Genomic DNA, 20934 nt, shown 5'->3' with positions numbered 1-20934 from the left:
GATCAAAGATTAACTTAAACCTAAGTAGACAATGTTTTTGTTAAAATACAAAGATTGGCAAAATTAAAAAAGTCCATCTCTATCATAGTTACAAGAGAGGTAACTAATATATTAATTTACAGAAACTTTGAAGTTCAAACAATACAGATACTGTGTATATATGATATACATACAAACATACTACATGAATATAATTTTTTAAAAACTTGCTATGTAGACAAAATAGAATGTAAGTTAGAAACATTTATTAAAATAAGTTAGTCTAACCAGTGTGATAAAAGATTTAAGTTATTAAGACGATGTGATGACTTAAATGTGCATTAGCCTGATACATACATACATATATACACACACACCACACACTCACACATATACGTATTTAGAGAGAGAGTCAAATTATATAAAGCAAAAATATCAGAAAGTAAGTAGAAATGGATAAGCCCCCAAATCATTATAGACTTTTGAAACACACATCTTTCAGTAATAGATAAAAGAAAAAATTAAAAGAGTAAGTTTTAAAAGAAGCTAGTGGATTTTAAAAAGGGCAAATGTTATATAAGGAACATGAATATTATAATTCATGTTATTTTCATGTTCATACAGAATACTTACAAAAATTAACATTTTCTAGACCATACCACAAATTCAAACAATTTTCACGAAAATAACGTGACACAGAATATATTTCCTAAACAAACAGCAATGAAGGTAGATATCAATACAAAAAAGAAAGCTAGAAACATAGGTCTAATAATATTGGCTGGAAGCTATTTTAATGAATATTGAAATATTTTAAAGGTGAATAGTCAATACAAATGAACCAAACACTTTTGTAAGGCCACTAAGATGCATGTGTAATGTGTAATGCCTCCTTTTATAAGGAGTAAATCTGTAACATCACCTGGGCTATTTGACAACTGCAAAGTGAATATGAGAAGGAGAGAAACAGTGAGAGAGAGAGAGATAAAACCAGTAAAATAAACATAAAGAATGAAGGAAATAGCCAGGTGCCATGGTTCACGCCTGTAATCCCAGCACTTTGGGAGGCCGAGGCAGGTGGATCACCTGAGGTCAGGAGTTCGAGACCAGCCTGGTCCAACATGGTGAAACCCATTCTCTACTAAATATACAAAAATTAGCCTGGCATTGTGGCATGCACCTGTAATCCCAGCTACTCGGGAGGCTGAGGTGGGAGAATTGCTTGAACGTGGCGGGTGGAGGTTGCAGTGAGTAGAGATCACGCCACTGCACTCCAGCTTGGGCGACAGAGCAAGACTCCATCTCAAAAAAAAAAAAAAAAAAAAAAAGGAGGAACCAGTACATGAAAAAGCAGTATTAAAGCAACTGAGTATATATTTAAAAACGCAAAAGCTCACTTTTTCAGAAAAATATTAAAATATTAAATCTAACAAATATCTAGGTAGACTGATGGAGAAAAATACAGAAAATGCACAAAAAACCAATTACCTGGAATGCGAAGGTTACAAAACGTCAGCAGTTGTAAATTTCAAATAAGCAATGACTTTGAGTTCAACCATGATGGGGTATATTGAAAAGAATCTCTCAGAAAAAAAAGAAAAAGAAAACTGTTATAAAGCTATGTACAAAATGTTAAGCACTATTAAAGCCTTCCAATTCTACCAGTTATGGAGTTATTGGTTTTGGATTAACTATCCTGAAAAAAAAAAAAAAAGAAAACAAACAAAAAAAAAACTAAAAACCTGGATAAAATAGCCTACCGTGGGCACTGGCAATGCAACCAAGCAGGTAGGACATGGGTGCTACATTCTCTTTGTCAGAACACAAAGCATTCATACACTCTTCTCACCCTCACTCTCACCTTTTAATCTTAGATCTACTATTAAATGTTTTCAACATTACTATCAATCCTTTGGTCAAAATTTCTTTACTCACATTTTGCTTGATGCACTTGGATAGACTGTTCAAGAAAGTGTGAGTAGTGAATTCCTCAAACTCTTGCATATTTAAAATTACATTTTTGAACCTTGATGCTTGAAGTGTAGCTTGGGTAATGGGTGGGCTTTAAGCCAATTTTGGCATGCAAGGGGTTGAGTTTATTAGGCATCAGCACCTCTGAAAATTGTGGGGATGCAGGCTTAATTTCAACACTTGAAAGATATTATATAATTCTTTAATAAACTCCTGTGTCTACAAATCGTTCGCATTAACTCAATATCCATGATTAAACATCTATAAAATCAAGGCACTCTTATTTAGTGGAGACTTGCTGGCTATTCTATGAGAGGAGGTATTGTTATTGTAATCTCATCCTCTCAAAAAGTGTATCATATTACTCATAACCAGCCCTTCATATTCTATTCCTATTTTGGTATTTTAAAATAAGATATCTTTGAAACACTTCAATTCAAAGAGGGAATCTGAATAGTTTTTAAAATGTCAATGAAATGCCATTTCTTCATGCTTGAACAAATAAAAATCGACTAAAGTGCTTCTCTTCAAACTTTCTGGAACATTTTTTATCTAAATTCTAAGAACAATCACAATAGGTTTTAACCACAAATGTGAGAATATTCTAAATGTTAGGGTGGAAAAATTTTTTAAATAATTTTATAGTAATTTTTTCATCATAGTGACAGTGTGCTAAATTTTTTTAAGTCAAATATTACTGTGGACATTTAAGTCAAGATTCTAAGAAGCTGTTCTAAAGTCCAAAATTTAGTTTCATATACAGTGATGTTATATATATATTTGCATATAAAATTAATATATGTGAGCCATGTTTCAAATGCTTGAGAGATCATTATATCAAAGATTCTTGATTATATAAAATGCCAATTACTTATAGGCACACATGCTTTAAATAATTACAAAGGCAGTTGTGGTTGATTCTACTCTTGCTACTGGCATTTATATGGACATCATATTATGGTCTGAAGAATGTTTAGGCAAATTTATCCCTCATATGATCAGAAGAACAATGCAAGATAGTTTATATCTGAAAGGAAAAAAATCTTTATATGGTTCTGAAAGCCTAAATCATTAACAACTTGGATAATAATTAGCATAAAAATACACAAACATGCCCTCTTCCTAGCAGTAAATACACAGTGACAACAGAATCAAAGCATGTGGCTATGTGCATGTTTATATTTCAAGACGCAGAGCACTCTATTCCTCTTCTCTGCCCTTTCTAGTTGGCACAATTCCTCATGAATCTAAGTGCAGTCATAGGGTGGATTAGAGTGACCTGCCATTTGTATGCAACTGATCTCTATTTTGGAAGTAATTAAAGTAAAAATATATTTTTAAAAGATAATTTCAAATTTCAGTGCAAACTAGCATGGATTCACCCCTTTTCTTTGTAACATTTTTTCTAAGGTTGGAAAAGTAAGGTAGGCTTTAGTACGATTTTTAATAATAAGTTTTCAAAGTGAGATGCAAAATGGTGGCGCCAACACATTTCAAATCTGCTACATTTTGAATACACTTATTGGAGAAAAGACCTTCTCATCATTTTTCTCTTACAGGAAAGGAAATAACAAGTACAGTTGACCCTTAAGCAACACGGAGGTTGGGGCGCTGGCCCCACTGCACAGTAGAAAATCCACTATAACTTTGACTCCCCCAAAACTTAACTACTAATAGCCTACTGTAAGCCTTACAAATAACACAAGCAGTCAATTAACACATATTTAATATGTTATATGTCTTATATACTGTATTCTTAACAAACATGCCAGAGAAAAGAAAAAGAAAATCATAAGGAAAATATATTTACTAGTTATTAAATGGAAGTAGATGATCAGACAGGTCTTCATCCTCATCCTTTTCCTGGGCAGGGTGTGGAGAAAGATGTAGAATTGTTGGTTTTGCTAAGTGGACCTGCACAGTTCAAACCCCTGTGGTGTAAAGGCCAACTGTATAGCCATTGAATAGCAATTTATTTTTAGAAATTAACCTCACTAAAATACTCTTAGAAGGATGCCAAGAAAAAAAATGAATAAGTATTTTTGGTTCATCTATTTCATCATTTCATTTCATCATTTCATTTCATTTCATTTCATCATTTCATCTTTTCATTTCATCATTTCATCTCATCATTTCATCATTTCATCATTTCATCACATTTCATTTCATCATTTCACTTCATCTCATTTATTCATTTCATCTTATGATTTCATTTCATCTCATCATTTCATCTTTTCATCTCGTCATTTCATCTTTTCATCTCATTGCATTTCATTTCATCATTTCATCAATTCATTTCATTTCATTTATTTCATCATTTCATTTCACCATTTCATCATTTCATCATTTGACTTCATTTCATCATTTCATAACATCATTTCATCACTTCATCTTTTCATTTCATCATTTCACTTCATAATTTCATCATTTCATTTCCTCATTTCATTTCATTTCATCCTTTCATCATTTCATCTCATCATTTCATCCTTTCATTTCATTATTTCATTTCATCATTTCATCTCATCGTTTGCATTTCGTCACTTCATTTCATTTCATCATTTCACTTCATCTCATCATTTCATCATTTCATCTCATGATTTCATTTCATCTCATTTCATCTTTTCATCTCGTCATTTCATTTCATCATTTCATTTCATCTATTCATCATTTCATCATTTCATTTCATTATTTCATCATTTAATCATTTCACTTCATTTCATCATTTGATTTCATTTCATCATTTCATATAATTTCATTTCATCATTTGATCTTTTCATCATTTCATTTCATTTCACTTCATTTCATTTCATCATTTCATTTCACCATTTCATTTCATCATTTCATCATTTCATCATTTCCTTATTTCATTTCATCATTTCATCTCATCATTTCATCATTTCACTTCATCTCATCATTTCATCATTTCACTTCATCTCATTTCATCATTTCATCTCGATTTCATTTCATCTCATCATTTCATCTCATGATTTCATTTCATCTCATCATTTCATCTCATGATTTCATTTCATCTCATCAATTCATTTCACCTTTTCATGTCCTCATTTCATTATTTCATTTCATCTTTTCATCTCGTCATTCATTTCATCATTTCAATTCATCATTTCATTTCCTCATTTCATCATTTCACTTCATCATTTCATTCCATCATTTCATATCATTTCTTCATTTCACCATTTCATCATTTCATTTCATTTCATCATTTCACTTCATTTCATTTCATTTCATTCCATTTCATTTCTTCATTTCATCATTTCATTTCATCATTTAATTTCATTTCATCATTTCATCATTTCATTTCATTTCAGTGATACATGTATTTAAGTGCTAATGCGATGCCCAGGAGACACCCTATTTCCTTGTAAAACACCTCCTTCAACAAAAGGCAACCTCTCATGGCTGGCTAAGTCTACAGGGATACCAGCCTCTCTTCAACCACCCAATTTGATTTAGAACCTCAAAGAGCACCTCAGTTTCATAAAAACCTAAAACATAAACACAACACTTGGTTGTAAGTGAGGCAACAGTTTCTTGTCTCTTTCTCTGCTCAAGGCTTAAGGCCATGTCTCCCCAACTACGTTCAGTGGAAGAAAAGATCCCCTGGACAAATAAGTTTGAGAACTGTTGTTGCAGGACTTCTCAGAACCTTTAAAACACAAATCCTCATCTGCAGGGATTTTCAGGAGGGAGACAGCTGATGCAGCACAACTTTCTTTCACAGGAGCATCTTGCAGAATACAGTATGAGATACAGAAAGGCTGCATTGAGTCTTTTTAAGGGCCCGGGCCTTGGTGGGGGTGGGGTAGGAGCTCTCCAGATAGCATCTAATGAGTAGGAACATTCAGGTGGCTTTTTTTTCTCCTTATTGGCAAAACTGTGTGTGCACCATGAACGAAGCTGGTCTCCCTTATCCATATCAAAACTAAACCCAAATTAATTGGCTAAATTGGGACTCAACACCTCCAGGAGCCATGCAGAAGAAAGCCCCACCACACTTTAAAGTAGCTTACCTCATCATATTTGAGGAAAGCAAAATGCTTATGACCAGTATGCTGCTAATACAAGTCTACAGATAATGCTGTAGGAAAAATTATTTTTCCCAATCATAGCTGGCATAGTCCACAGTTTGCATTACACTTTCCCCCCTTTTTTTAAATTTGAAACACAGGTCTTTTCCTCTTCTTTTATTAAATTTTAATTTAATTATACAAGACAGAGTCTCAGTATGTTGCCCAGGCTGGTCTTCAACTCCTGAGCTCAAGCGATACAGCTGTCTCTGCCTCCCAAAGTGCTGAGATTACAGGCCTGAGACACTGTGCCCGGCCTTAAACACAAATCTTAATTCATTCTTACAATTATCCTGAGGTTAGAAAAATGGAAGGGGAAGAAAAATGGCAAGCAGGTAGGCTGACTTCAGCTTCATTATTTGGAAGGACAGTTTGCTCGGTTAAAACACACTACTGCCCACAAAGGCCAAGACAACAGAAAAATACAGACTTATATAAATAGATTTTATATGTGACAGCAGTTTAAATGGAGACTTTTTCAATGAAAATGACAAACAGCTGTGCTTGGGAATAAATGACAACGAATTTTTTATCTCAATAGCTGTCCTGAAAGCATGTCTCTACATCTCTACCTGCATTCTGGAATCAGGGAGAAAGCCAAAATGGACGACAAGACACTAGATCAGCTGTGTCCAACCCTTTGACTACAAGGACTTTTCCACCTATCTGTGATGGTGGGTATCATGAAAATTATGCACAAACCTTTTTTTTTTTTTAAGCTCATCAGCTATCGTTAGCATTAGTGTATTTTATGTGCGGCCTAGGAGCATTCTTCTTCCAATGTGGCCCTGAGAAGCCAAAAGACTGGACACCTGTGCACTAGATCAAAAGGCTACTCCTTCTGGAAGCAATTGTAAAGAATTTCTGACATTATCTAGACATGAAAACCAATGGATAGTGAGACAGAATGCAAAATCTTCAAGAATTTTTCTTGTTGGTTTTTTTTTTTTTTGCGTCAAGGTCTTGCTCTGTGGCCCAGACTGGAGTACACTGGTGAGATCACAGCTCAGTGCAGGCTCAAGTGCTCCTCCCGCCTCAGCCACAGTAGTACCTGGAACTACAGATGCGCACAACCACCCCTGGATAATATTTTATTTTTTGTAGAGACGGGGTCTCACTATATTGTCCAGGTTGTTCTCAAACTCCTTGACTCAAGGGATCCAGGACAAGATAACAGGTGTGAGCCACCCCACCTGGCCATGTGCAGGAATTTTAAGACAAACACAAGGCCCCACAAAAGTTAAGGTTTTCCCACCTAATTTCCAGGGGATCTTTTGGTGCAAGGATGAGAAGCCCTTAAAAGTACACAGACAACTCCAAAGATTCAAGACAGTTCATTCGGGCTGAGCCAGCCCACTGGGCAGACTGACCTTCAAAAAAGGCCCACCCATGACATACACCAGATGGCTCTCCAAGAATCTCTCCAGTCCTCAGGGTCCCTAAGGTACTGGACAGAGCTAGGAAAGCAAGCCTATTTGCTTTTTCCTGCAAGAAACCCCTTGAGGTCAAGACCCCACAATCAGACGAGGATGGAGTGGCTCACCCTCAGTCAACATGCCAGATTCAAGGTGGTATAATGTCTTAACCAAGCGTGTGGGCCTCCAGGTCTGACTCCCAACTCAGTTCTCCTTTAATAACCACTCTTTGTTAATTCTCCTTAACAGGGGTTCCTGGCAAGTCAGTTCTCCCTCAGGCCTTCGGTTTCCTCACCTACAAGATGAGAGGGCTGGACCAGATGGAAATTCGGGGGGGGGGGGGGGTAAGGGGATGTCCGCGCGCAGCCCACCCCACCCATGGGCCCCTCGAGCCTCTATCCCAGTTCCGACCACGCACCCGCCCCAGAAATCCTGCCCAAGGTGAGGGCTGGACCCGGGTCCTCCGGCTGCCGCATCAGCAAGTGCAGGAGGGAGAAGCCTCCAACCGGGCGACTCGAGCTCAAGGATGCAACTCCGCCAGAAGTGAACTAGGGCCCGGAGGGAGGTGTCCGGGCCGCTCCTCGAGCCCAGCCGGGGTCCACACACCCCTTACCTCCAGGGTCCGTATCTCCTGCTGGGTGAGGTCGTTGGACACAGCGCACTTGGTGCGCAGCCCGCGCAGGCTGCCGATGAGGTTCTGGAGCTGCCCGCACTGCTGCAGCGCCCGGCTGGCCGCCGCCCCTGCGCCTCCCACCGCGGCCGGCGCATCACCCCCGCCACCGCCCTCCTTCTTCTCTCACATCGCGGCCGCGCGGAGCGCCGCTCTATGCAGGCCGCAGCGGCCAAGGCGGGGAGCCCGGGGCGCCGGCGCGTAGGCAAGGGACCCCCGAGCCGGGAGAGCTGGACCAGGAGCGCCCCTCAGCGCTGCCCGAGCCAGGACGCCGGTAGAGCTGGCAGCCGAGTGTGCCGCTCCCGCCCTCAGAGCCGCGGCGGGCAAAAAGCTGCGGCGTCGGGGGCAAAAAGGCGCGGCGTCGGGGGCAAAGAGCCGCGACGGCAAAAACCCGCGGCGGCGGGGGCAAAAAGCCGCGGGGGCAAAAGCCACAAAAAGCCGCGGCGGCGGGGGCAAAAAGCCGCGCCGGCAAAAAACAGCGGCGGCGGGGGCAACAAGCCGCAAAAAGCCGCGGCGGCGGGGGCAAAAAACCGCGGCGGCGGCGGGGGCAAAAAACCGCGGCGGGGGCGGCGGCAAAAGCGGCGGCGGCGGGGATGGAGGCAAAAAGCCGGGGCGGCGGCGACGGCGGCAAAAGGCGGCGGCGGCAGAAAGCGGCGGCGGCGGCAGAAAGCTGCGGCAAAAAGGGGCGGCGGCAGAAAGCGGCGGCAAAAAGCCGCGGCTGCGGGAGCAAAAATATATGTATAGACATATATATTTTATATGCAGTCTTGCTTTGTCACCCAGGCTGGAGTGCAGTGGCGCGATGTCAGCTCACTGCAACTTCCACCTCCTGGGTTCATGCAATTCTCCTGTGTAGCTGGGATTACAGGCATGCGCCAGCATGCCTGGCTAATGTTTGTGTTTTTATAGAGACGGGGTTTCGCCATGTTGGCCAGGCTGGTCTCGAACTCCTGACCTCCAGTGATCTGCCCGCCTCACCCTCTCAAAGTGCTGGGATTACAGGCGTGGGCCACTGCGCCTGGCCCCATATTTGGCTTTTTAAAAACCTGTCTGTATTGTCTACAGGCTGGGCAGATCTGTCAGGGAGGTCTTGGCTGGGAGATGGAAACGATGCAAGGGAGAGGGAGAGGCTGACACAGCCAGCTGGACGGGCGGGCAGGGGAGGGGAGCCGTGGGAGCCGGCTGGGAGCCTGCCACACTCCCCTCCTCCTGAAGCCTTTTGGGGTTGCTGCCCTGCCTGTGGCCACGGGTTTAAGGACCCCCCTGGTCATTTTTCTTTGTCCCAGATCTGTTGCTACCAACGGTGAGGTATTCCTAATGTTCCCCTTGGCTGTGTCCTGTGCATGGAGCAAGGACCTCTCCCCTTTTTCCTGCACGACAGGGCTCTGTGCCACCTATTTTCTCAGGCCCTCCCACCCCCAGGCCCCATCCTGGGTTAGTACTCACCGGTGACCAGGGTGAAGTGGCAGGGGCTGGTCATGGTGACAAAGGCGGGGGTCATGTAGCGTGCCTTCACCCCGTCTCGGGCCATGGCGTCCAGGTTGGGGGTGTCCACGTCCTGCTCGTAGTTCCAGCGGAAGCTGTCGAAGGACACCAGGAGCAGCTTGTTCCGGGAGCCCTGACTTTGTACCGGTGCCCCGGCCCTGGGAGCCAGGAGCGTGGGCAGAGCCACAGTGAGGAGGACGGTCGGGCCTCTCATGCTGGGCCTTCCAGATGGACAGGCACACAGGGTGCACAGGGCTGGCTCCTGCCGAAGAGGGCAAAGTCCCAGGGTCACCTGGGCTGATCTCATCCCGTGTGTCTTTGGAATGTGGCTGTGCACATCCCCGGGTCATACTTCGGGAGTGGGCTCCCCAGCCGTGTCAGTGCCACTCCTGGACCCAGCCTCAAGTGCGTGGGACGGCATCAACTTGAGCATCTGCCTTTATTGCCAGCCGCGCCCTTGGGGCTCCAGGCTCCTCTCCTCCCTCCCCAGAGTGCGGACAGTGACCCAGGGCTCAGAGCACAGCAGGAGCCCATTCTACCGGGAAAGTTGTGCCTTCTCCCTCTCCCATAGCAACCGGTGGTCCCTTTGTCCCAGCTTACCCTGACCCCAGGGGACCCAGGTGAGGCTGCGGTGGGACCCCCTCTCCAGGCCTTTAGCGGTGCATGGGCCTCAGGCCTGCCTGGGTGAGGGCCTGTGGGGTGGGCTTCCCACGGTCAGGGCCAGGACCAAGCCTGGGTCACAGCATGGCCTTGTCCGGGGGGAACCCCAGGCTGGGTGTCTTTTCTCCTCCTGCTCCTGTTAAGGGGCTCCTTGAGTGTGGTGAGCAGACCGGGAACCCGATGGCTCCAGAGCAGCGTCCTGCGCGCCTTCCTTCTTGGGGTGCTTCCTTCTTGGGAATTTCAGAGGGGGCCTGGGGCTCGGGCGTTCTTGCTTGATGGACTTTTTGACAACAAGGGGTCAGAAGAGGGGGACTCCCTTGTTACCATGGGCACATGAGGGGTGGGAGAGGAACCCCTGGATTCAGTGTTCGGTTCTCCCTCCCTCTCCGCCATCTCTCCTTCCCCTTCTCTTATTTTCTCTCTCTTTCTCTGTCTCTCTCCCTCTTTCCTTCTCTGTATGTCTCTGTCTCAGTACCTATCAAGCACGTTCTGTGTGCCAGGCATGGTTCTAGGTTCCGGGGACACAGAAGTGAATGAGACAGACAGTGTTCCGCGTGGCCTCCATTCGAGTTGGGGACACAGAAAATAAAATGAACAAACAAGAAGAAAAGAGTTTCCCAAAAGAAGGGAAGGAGGAATACGTGATGGAGAGGCTGGCGGGGTGGGTGGGTGGCACGCAGTGGTGGCTGGTGGGGTTTGGCTGAGAGGATGGTGGAGGCCAGTGACTCTGGGGGACCATGAGCTAGGGGAGCGGGCATGGGGCAGGTGGCAGGGCCAGTCCCGTGGGGCAGGCAGTGGTGATTCTCATGCCAGGCAGTGGAAGCCAGGGGCGGGTTTTAAGCGAGAGAGCGACATGAACTGATCTAATGCTAAAATACACTCTCCATTTGTGGGTGAAGGACGGACCAGAACGAGGGCAGAAGGGACACTGGGTGCTCCCTGGAGAGGTGACTGCCTGTGTCCGAGCAAGAGCTATTGGTGGCCCGGACCAGGGTGATGGCTGTGGGATGGGGCTGGGTTTGAGGTGGATCCTGGAGGTTTTGCTGAGAGGTGGTGCTCTGGATTGCATGGTGGGAGGTGGTGCACTGATTGCACGGTGGGAAGATGGAAGGGCATGGCTGGGGGTATTGTCACAATTTCAATCTGGAGCCACACACCTGTCGACAGTGGCCTTGGCCTTCCTTAAGACCTTTGCCTGGCTGCAGCAAGCAGACGCCGTCTCAAAGTGATGGCCGTGGCACTCAGATGACACCGCAGACGTCGTCCACAGCCTCCCCAGGCCAGTCAGCCTTTCCTAACCCAGGTGGGCAGGGACCACTGGTACGGATCCCCGGCCGGACTCTCAAGGAGGACTCCGTGCCAGTGACCCCCGCTTCTTCACGCTTCTGTGCACTAAAGGCTGAAAACCAGGATGGAGCGACTGCCGGGTGCCTGCAACCACCGCATGGGGTGCCTACCCTGCAGGGCTGGGGCTCAGGGCGCCCAGAGGTGCGGCTCCTCCCTGGGGAGCACAGACCCTGGGGAGGGTAAGGATCCCTGTGTGTCAGGGACAGAGGTTGCGATGCACGCACAGGGGGAGTGCAGGCGGCCTCGAGAGAGGAGATCGGGCTTTGCTGGCACCAGCGCTGGGGGAAGCCCACAGGATGCTTGGAGCCAGGAGAGAGGGCAGGAAGGCTTCAGGCAGAGGGACCAGGCATGGAGGAAGGGAGGCACCCGGGCTCCCGAGGGGGTCGGCCAGGAGGAGCCTGTAGGCCATGGCGGAATCTGGATTTTCAGCTGTGGCAGAGCTGGTTAGTTGTCCCCTACTATCCGTTCTCCCCTGTTTCCATGATAAGACGGCTGCAAAGAAGAAAGACTACATTTCCCAGCGTTCCTTGCAGTAAAGCATGGCCACGTGACCACATTTTGGCCACTGGGGCAAAAGGAGAATGTCACGTACCAGTCCCAGCCTCTTGCCAGAAGCTAGCGTTGCTTCTCTTCTTTTCTGATTTTTCCTCCATCTGATTCTCTGGCTGGCAAGCCACCCTAAGCCGCCTGATGAGGGGCTCCCTGGGGATGGCCATGGTGCGCAGAAGGGGCCTGCTTCCCAGCGTCCTGTGTAGCTCAGCTCCAGGCTGCATCCTCCCGGGGAGAATTCAACACACTCTGCCTGGTTGCAATTTCCATTATTTGGGTTTCCTGTCACTCTCAGCGGGACCTAGTTCAAGCTGATAATAGAATTGCAGGCCTGGGGGGCATTGCTAGGTTTAAGCAGGAGCTGGCTGTGGGGTAGGGCTCGAGAGGGCCGCCAGGGAGGCAGGGCCTGAGTGAGGAGCCGAGGCAGTGGTCCAGGGGCCTGGCCAGGCCCCTGTTGAGGTGCATTTGGGGTGTGCTTGGGGCCGGCGCAGATCTTGGTGTCTTGCAGGTCTGGGGTCCATGGTTCTGCAGGTTCTCCTGTCGGCCCCCCGGGGTCGTGCGAATTCCTGGTCCTGTTCACCCTCTTACCTGCCTGGGCCTGGTCTGGAGATGGCATGAAAGGTCTGCTCCTGCTCCTCTCAGGACATCCCAGCCATGCTTGGGTAACTCTCCTCTGGTTTTTGGCTCTGTACTTCAATCCCGCTTTGCTGGGGAGCTCCTTGGGTCACCCCATATAGGTTTCCATTTTCTCCCCGATCTCATAGAGCGCTTGGATGGAAAGGATGTGCAGTGGTTGATTGTAGCTCATGGCTACAGGACATTTCCCACAGTCCGTGGGCACTGGGCAATAGCCACGATCTCACTGAAGCTTGGAGGTAGTTCTTGAGGTAGGAGTTAGTACAATCCTTAGTTTACAGGTTAGAAACTGAGGCAGAGAGATGTTAAAGTCACTTGGTGACTGGAGGAGCTGAGCTGGAACCCAAGCGTTCTGGCTCCCAAGCCCCAGCGTTCAGCTTCAGCTGCTTCAAGAGGCAGCAATTTACCAGCCTTTGTTCACTTGGGATTCTATTGTCAGGCTTTGGGGCTATTGACAACATTTTATTTAAAAAATGGTGCAGTTCAGCCTGGCCAATGTGGCAAAAACCCATTTCTACGAAAAATACAAAAATTAGCTGGGCATGGTGGTGCGCACCTGTAATCCCAGCTACTTGGGAGGCTGAGGCATGGGAATTGCTTGAACCTGGGAGGTGGAGATTGCAGTGAGGCGAGTGCACACTACTGCACTCTAGCCTGGGCAACAGAGCGAGACTCTGTCTCAAAAAAACAGAACAAAACAAAACAAACAAACAAATATAGTGCAGCTGTGAGTATCTTGACACCACTGACTTTTTCCTTTTCTTTCTTTGATTTTTAACATTTGCCTTCTTTCCTTGGGGTACAGTGCTTAGAGAAAGGTTATTGGACAAAAGATAGAAAAGCTACTTGGTTCTTATGATCAGATGGCTGTCAGGTGACTGACCCTCTCCTAGACCTAACTCTACTCCACTAAGCCTTCAAGGCGCTGACCTTAGGCTCTGTCCTCGGCTTGTTTAGTTCAGGTTTAGCAAGAGTCCTGCTGGGTCAGTTTAGTGAAAATCCTATGGGATCACCCTCAATATTTGATCAAATTCCTCATCCTCCACTCTCGATATCTTGTTACCCTGGCCTGCTTTCAGGAAGATTCCTGCTGAGTTGGCCGAGCAAGCATCCCCTCTCCTCAATGTCTCCTCTTTGTCATTTTCCACCCACCCGGCACCCTTGCTCCTGGACTGTACATCCTACTCATCCTTTGTAGAGTGAGACTGAGCCCAATCTCGCTCTCCTACAGCAAAACCCTATTGTGGTAGCCCCCCTGGAATAAGGTCTTCCTACCTGTCTTTAACAAGAGTCATGAATACTTTTTTCTTTATTTTAAAAATTATTATTATTACTATTATTATTTTTTGAGACAGAGTCTCATTCTTTTGCCGAGGCTGGAGTGCAGACTCCGTCTCAGATAGATAGATAGATAGATAGATAGATAGATAGATAGATAAATAAATGAATGATGCAAATAATTTAGTGGCTTTCATTATGCTATAAATAATTCATATAGGTCATTATTAGAGCTTTAATTGATAAGCCACTGTATTTTTATTTCTGATTTATATTTTATCTAAAATAAAAAAGTTAAGTAAGAATTAATATGGAAACTAGAATACAAATAAATTTTTAAAGGAATTATGTACCAGGGTCCTAAGATTATAATTACATAAATATTTGCATCAGGGTCCTAAGATTGTAATTGAGAATAACATTTCATACAGAGCTTTCTGACAGCTAAGATAAAAATATTACTAGAGAAAACCCATGGACTATTTAATAATAAGCAGTGAAAGTTCATTTGAAGCCTATCTCTATTAATTCAGAGCCTGGCTCTCCAAATTAAAAAGAGATAGGCTTCAAATGAACTGTCAATCGTGTCAGAATCTGAGACGACAACATTAGGTGCTCGCACCTGACGTTGTCATCTGAGATTCTGACACCATGGTTAGAAGAGAATGAGGCAAGTGTGTATCACCCAGAGGAAACCTCCACCTTTACTGGTAAGCTCTCACAACTGTATCCGTGAAACTCTCATTTCTCAAATGTTAACGTTCTCCAAAATAAGTATTTACAAATAGGGATTAGGTGAAGTTAAAAAGATTTCTCAAATACTAGACACAAAATGCACAGTTTTGTAACATTTTTCAAACATGGGTGATCATGAAGTCTTTCTTTTGGGGTATAATGTTGAGCTTCTGGTAAAGTAAATATCCTTTGGAATATATTAATAGTTTAAGAAACACCGCTCTATAGATAATAATTTAGATCATTTATAAAAATACCTGAAACATTTATTACTGTGTCTTAGAGTTTGAGGACATAGAGAAAAAAAATACAGCTGCTGCCCTCAAGAAGCTCTTGGTTCAGGTGGGAAACAATAAAATCCTTGAAACATGCCATGCTAAATGCTGTGACAGAAGCAAAGATTCTTGGAACTGGGAAATGTTTGAAGTGAGTTTTGGAGATGACCAGAGTTCTGTGGTGAGGCAGAGGAGGCTGTTTCCAGCGGAAGGAGCAGAACGTAGAAAAGCACCGAGGAGTGAAAAGAAAGGGACTACCTCTTACGTCCTTTCAATTGTATATATTTAAGCTCACAGGATCTTACATAAGGTTTTCAGTTCAGTTGATAAATATGTAATTATGTGATTATAAATTGTTGCTGTTGTTTTACAGATTGAATGTCAACCACTTTTACTGGCTGCGCATCTAGGAAAACTGATAATGGTGGAATTTTTATTAAAGAAAAATGCAAATATAAATGCAGTTAATTGTCTTAACAGGTACAGACCTTAGTTCTTATTGTGTTGTTTTTAAACCTGAGTGTCATTGTAGAGTGGTAGCGGTCACTCAAGTCACAAATATTATATTAATAAGAAGACTAACTTTTAATTATTGGGATATAGTGAGAAATATCAACACAGATCATCACACGTAGAAAAACAATTATTTGGACTGAGTAACATAAAGAACAGTATATAGCAGGATTTGTCTCTCTATATAGACATTATACACATAAAAGGCTTCTATATATAGAAAGCTTTGTATATTGATAGATGTTTGTTATTTGTAATATGATGTGGTGTTATTTATAATGTAATAATGTGATGCTTTTGATTGTATGATCTTATGTTAGCTAAAGAGGTTTCATGTTTTTCATTTCTACTGTGTTTTGGTGTTGTTTTTAATTGATATGGGGAGAGGGAGAAAAGATAGCTTTAAATGGATAAAACTTTACTTTAATGAAAACAAGCTTTAGGTTCACACAGGACTGGATTTAATCCCTAGTTTTCCCACTTGCTAGATGTGTGACCTTGGTAACATTACTTATCACCAAGTATGTTTTCTTCTGTGAAAAGGAGGGTAATAATATATCCTTCAAGGGTGGTTGTGTGTAAGTAACATTATATGTATATATATATATATATATATATATATATATATATATATATATATAATGTTAGAATGTCCAGCTTACAGAGCAAGGTGCTGATGTTTTGGAAACAATGGCTGAGCATATAAGTATGTGCATATATATAATATATATATACCCACACATATGTATGTAAGAAGATAATGTAAGTAACATCATATATAATATATACAATATATATTTTATAGATAATAATCTATAATGTATATTATATATTTTGTAGATAATATATAATATACAATATTTATATTTTATATATATATGATGTTACTTATGTTACTTATACACAAACACCCTTGAAGGATATATTATTATCCTCCATATACATATATTTATATATAGTGTTTAATTAAATGCCTAGCACATGCTTATGAGCATCATTAACTGAAGCTACGACTACTACTATTAGCATTCCTATTAATATTATTGTTTTAAGCCTGCAGATAGCTCTTATCTGACCCTTTAGGTGATTTTGCATTATAATGTATAGTATCAGACTAGGGAAGAAATGAATAATTTTTCACTTAAATTTGCCTACTGTAGATAGGTGGCCTGAGCATAGTTTCTTGCCCATCAAAAGACTTTAAGTTAGCAACTTTATGTCATACCATAGTGGGACAAGAGGCTTCCTTTTTGTTCCTTGCTTTTAACCTTTGTGGTAACTTGCAAAGATAAACCCTTGAGCACCCAAGATGCTTGTTTCTTAGTACATGTAATTGGGTTAATTCTACATGGACAGACAACATATTAAGTTGATAAAGTATATAAACTTAGCTTTTAAAATGTCATTAAAGTTTTTAATTACCTCTCTGTTATTTTAGATCGGCCCTCACACTTGCTGTTATTCGTGAACACAAAGATATAGTCATTCTTCTTCTGCAGCAAATATTGATATGTTTTCTCGAGATGTGTGTGGAAAGACTGCAGAAGATTATGCCTCTGAGGCTGGGAATTCAGTGTAAGTCTTTACATAAAAAGGCTAGTGAACACTAAATTGAAGTTTAAAATAATTGTAACAATTGCATCTTATATATCAGGTGAGATTTCATAGTTTGGTTCAAGTAGTTTTCAAGTGACAAATTTTCAAGTTTTTAAGTTTTCGAGAGTTGTGCAACTTCATCAGCCAGAAATCAAGCAAAAGGCTAGATAAGTAGCAGCAGGTGCAGGATTCTTGATATTGAAACTTTTAGGACTTTTCTCCTTAGGGATTCCAATGTTGTACATTTTATTTCCAGTATAACCCCTATGCATAGGATAAAGTAGTTTCATATGTTTGATTTTTCTAAATAGTTATTTGGGTCTCAAAATGTCCAGTTTATCAAAAAATCTTGTGCTGTGTACTGCGGACCATCTACTATAGCCTGATCATTGAATTTTTCAAGAACCTAAGGGGTTCCCTAAGTCCAAGGAAGACAATCAGTGTCTACAAGTCAGAATGAGAAGGGGAAAGGGTATTCTAATTTTTGCTTTGTTTTCATTGATTCTGTTGCTGCTTTCTTGCCATTGAAAGTACTCTTGCAGTCTGGTAATGATTAACCTTTGCCACCAGGATGCCCTTTCTGTTTGAGGTCCCTCAATCTTCATGTTGATCCATAAAAAGGCTTCAAAGTTACAACTATTTTTTTAGTTCACTTGCACATACTTATATGCTCAGCCATTGTTTCCAAAACAGCAGAACCTTGCTCTGTTAGCTGGATATTCTAACTTTATCAACATACATACTGAGCAAATTGACACTTTCACCCACACTCAAAACCTGCTGTAGAGCCCGCATTTTAACCTGGGCTTCTAGACCTTCATGGTGAGTTACTTTTTGAGTCCCTTTTTTTCTCTTCAAATATTAGTTGGGATAGTTCTAAACTGTCAGAGATATTCAAATAATGTTGTAGAAAGAGATCACAGTTTTTTCTTTATTGCTACCAGATCTGTACCCTGAGACTTTTTAAATAAACAGTGTAAGAGCTTTTCTCAGGTAGTGGAAGCTTCTATGCCATCCTTCCTTAGAGTAGGAGGCATCAACTTGTGGTTGGCCCCTCAAGTGATTTGTTTTCTATAATAATGAAGATCTCCCAAGCTGCTTGCATCACTATCTCAAGTTTGTAAAATATTTTCAGATTCTACCTTACAGGAAGCCATTCATCGGAATTATCTAAGTCTCAAGTTGGTTAGTTAGATTTAACAGAGCTAACCCTCATCCATGACTTATCAGCATTTATATGTAAAAGTAAGGCTTTGTATTTGCTTTGGCAGCACAAATACTAAAATTGGAACAATACAGAGAAAATTAGCATCGTGAGACATTTCATATTTTGCAGTCAGGGGAAGGTCATTTGACTGTTTGCTGGCTAGCTAAGTCACAGTTTGAATCGAAACAAAATGGGTGGCCCCTTATATTTGAATTGTGATTTTTCACTACAAAAACATTTGTGTAAGGTGATCTATAAACTGAGAATGGAGATAAGTAACACATGGGGTGTTGTGTAAATATTTTGTTAGTATGTATCTTGGAAATGAGAAAATGTCAACTTTCATCTACTTCATGGAACTTAAAAAAAATGAAAGTAGGGTTTTGTCTTCCATGTCAGTTGGAGATAACATCACTGATGGAGATTAACCATCATTCTAGCAAACATCTGGTTCAGTTAGAGTCTGCAGAGAAGTAATAGTGGTAGCCCAAGCCAGATCTTGACATCTGTTAGTTTTCTGCCCTTGGAATTGATGAGCTCAATAATAGTGAACAATCGTGTTACCTATTTTAATGAAATAATGTATTCATAAATTAATTTATTTATGAATTATGAAATAGTTGAGATGCCCTGAATTATAAGCCACAAATAATAGAACAATAAGCAAAATTAGGACTTAACATTTTTCTTAAACTGAAGCATTTGAATATTAGAACCTATGAAAAAATACACATTGGGTTTGATTTGGGATTTCAAAATAGTTTCAGCAATAAAGTTCAAGAACAAATTCCACTGCTTTACTATTTCTCTGTGAATGTTAAAAATGCTACTTCATTAAACCTATATAACAACCTAGTGAAAGAAGATAGTAAAATCTAGAAGAAGACATTGTGCATAAGAGAAGCAACTTGTTTAAGAGCAAATACCTGTTGACTATAGAGCCAGGACCTTCCAGTAAGAGCCAGGAAGGTGACTTTCCATTATGTCAAGCTGATGTGAGATAGTTTGCTGAGCTATACTGCCTTCACTTCATGAGTACTTCACCTGTTTTTATTATTTAATTAGAAAGGTACTAAGAAGTTTGTAGAGCTTACAGAAGAGAAGTGTATAGGATAATTAACATCCTGATATTGTTCAAGATACTCTAATAATTTAGTATATTTGGTAAATGTTTTTGATAATGGTATTAAAATATTAATTTCATTTATTTTTATACATAGCATTGCCGGACTAATTTCTGAATACAAAAGAAAGAAATATGAAGAGCTTTCTATAAATAGCAATCCGGGTAAGATTTCTGATAGTGAATTACTCTTGATGGTACTACCATAGATAAAAAAGAATAAAGATGTTTTGATTACAAAAAAACAGTTTAAAAAAATCAATTTAAATTGCACACATTTAAAAAATACTTAGTAGTCTAGATTTTCTAATTATTTAAAAAGTTAATTGTAGGTAGTTTATAATCTCAGTATTGTTTGAAAAAATTATTATTTTATGATGGTTCCTAATATTCTAGATGATCTTTTTGTGTAAATAAGAAAACAAATTTTTAAGTTATTACATTGCATGGTTTTTTATAGTCACATAATAATGAATTAGACTTTTTATATAATTAGAACTTCTATTTAACTTGTAAAATAAATTCTTTGCAGTTAGTAAATGAATCAGTAATTACAGTTGGCCCTTGAACAACATGGGATTTAGTGCTGCCAATGCCCATGCTGATGAAAATACATATTTGGTATGTTATATATATTATATATTGTATTCTGAGTACAAGAAAGTAAGCTAGAGAAAGGAAGTTTTGCAGTAGTTAAAGCTGTAGTTTCCTTTTAGTTCGATGCTTGAACTACTATCAATCTAGTGTAAGGTGTTCACCCATCCATGATAAAATAAAGTAAATTTACTCCATTTACTCATTTTAAAATGTTGGTCTTTTTCTTGCCCTTATGGCTTCTTCATTTGTTTTACTTAATTTTTTATTTATAAAAAAATAATAGTTGGTAGGGACTTTTTTCCTGTGAAAACCATCAATGAAGAGGCCATGTTGATCTAGGAAATATAAACATATTTATTTGGTAGCAGTAGAAATATAAAGCAGAAGCAGAAAAGAGGTACAGTTAATATGATTTAGTGAACATTGAATATAAAACATTAGTGGGGAGAGAGAAATCTTGGATCATTCATAGGTTTCCAGGTTGTGTACTGGCCTTTATACTGCACAGGAGAAAGGAGTAGGATGTGTTCACTGAATGGAGAAGTACAGCTGGTCAACAGAGAAGAGTAACTTCCCTTCCCTCCAACTCTGAGGTTGGAGATGCAGACGTAGAATGATGTTGTTATAATTATTAGGCAAAGTCATCGATCTCAACTGTCCATGATGCAGATGTAGAATGAGAAGGCATCCAGTGACAAAACCCTGGGAATGTCAACATTCCCTCCCGCCCCCAGGAGAAAAAGAATTGGTAAAGGAGAATGAGCAGTGGCTAGAGAAAAGTAGGAGAGGAGTCAGAGGAAGTGATGTGGCAAA

At 41.6% G+C, this 20934-nt stretch overlaps 1 protein-coding gene across 1 annotated transcript; it reads left to right on the top strand.

Annotated features, from left to right (window-relative positions):
- Positions 1-7752: 7752 nt before the first annotated feature.
- On the top strand, positions 7753-8681 carry LOC102724052 (translation initiation factor IF-2-like; the record flags this gene model as incomplete). Its single annotated transcript, XM_037916380.1, has 2 exons — positions 7753-7794; positions 8070-8681. Coding segments are annotated over exons 1-2 (654 nt in total), but the record flags the coding sequence as incomplete, so codon positions are not given.
- Between the last annotated feature and the right edge of the window lie 12253 nt (positions 8682-20934).

Source organism: Homo sapiens (genome assembly GCF_000001405.40).
Source record: "Homo sapiens chromosome 16 unlocalized genomic scaffold, GRCh38.p14 Primary Assembly HSCHR16_RANDOM_CTG1".
Classification (NCBI taxonomy): Eukaryota; Metazoa; Chordata; class Mammalia; order Primates; family Hominidae; genus Homo; species Homo sapiens.
The sequence above is the reverse complement of the archived record's forward strand: the minus strand, read 5'-3'. Positions and strand labels throughout refer to the sequence as shown.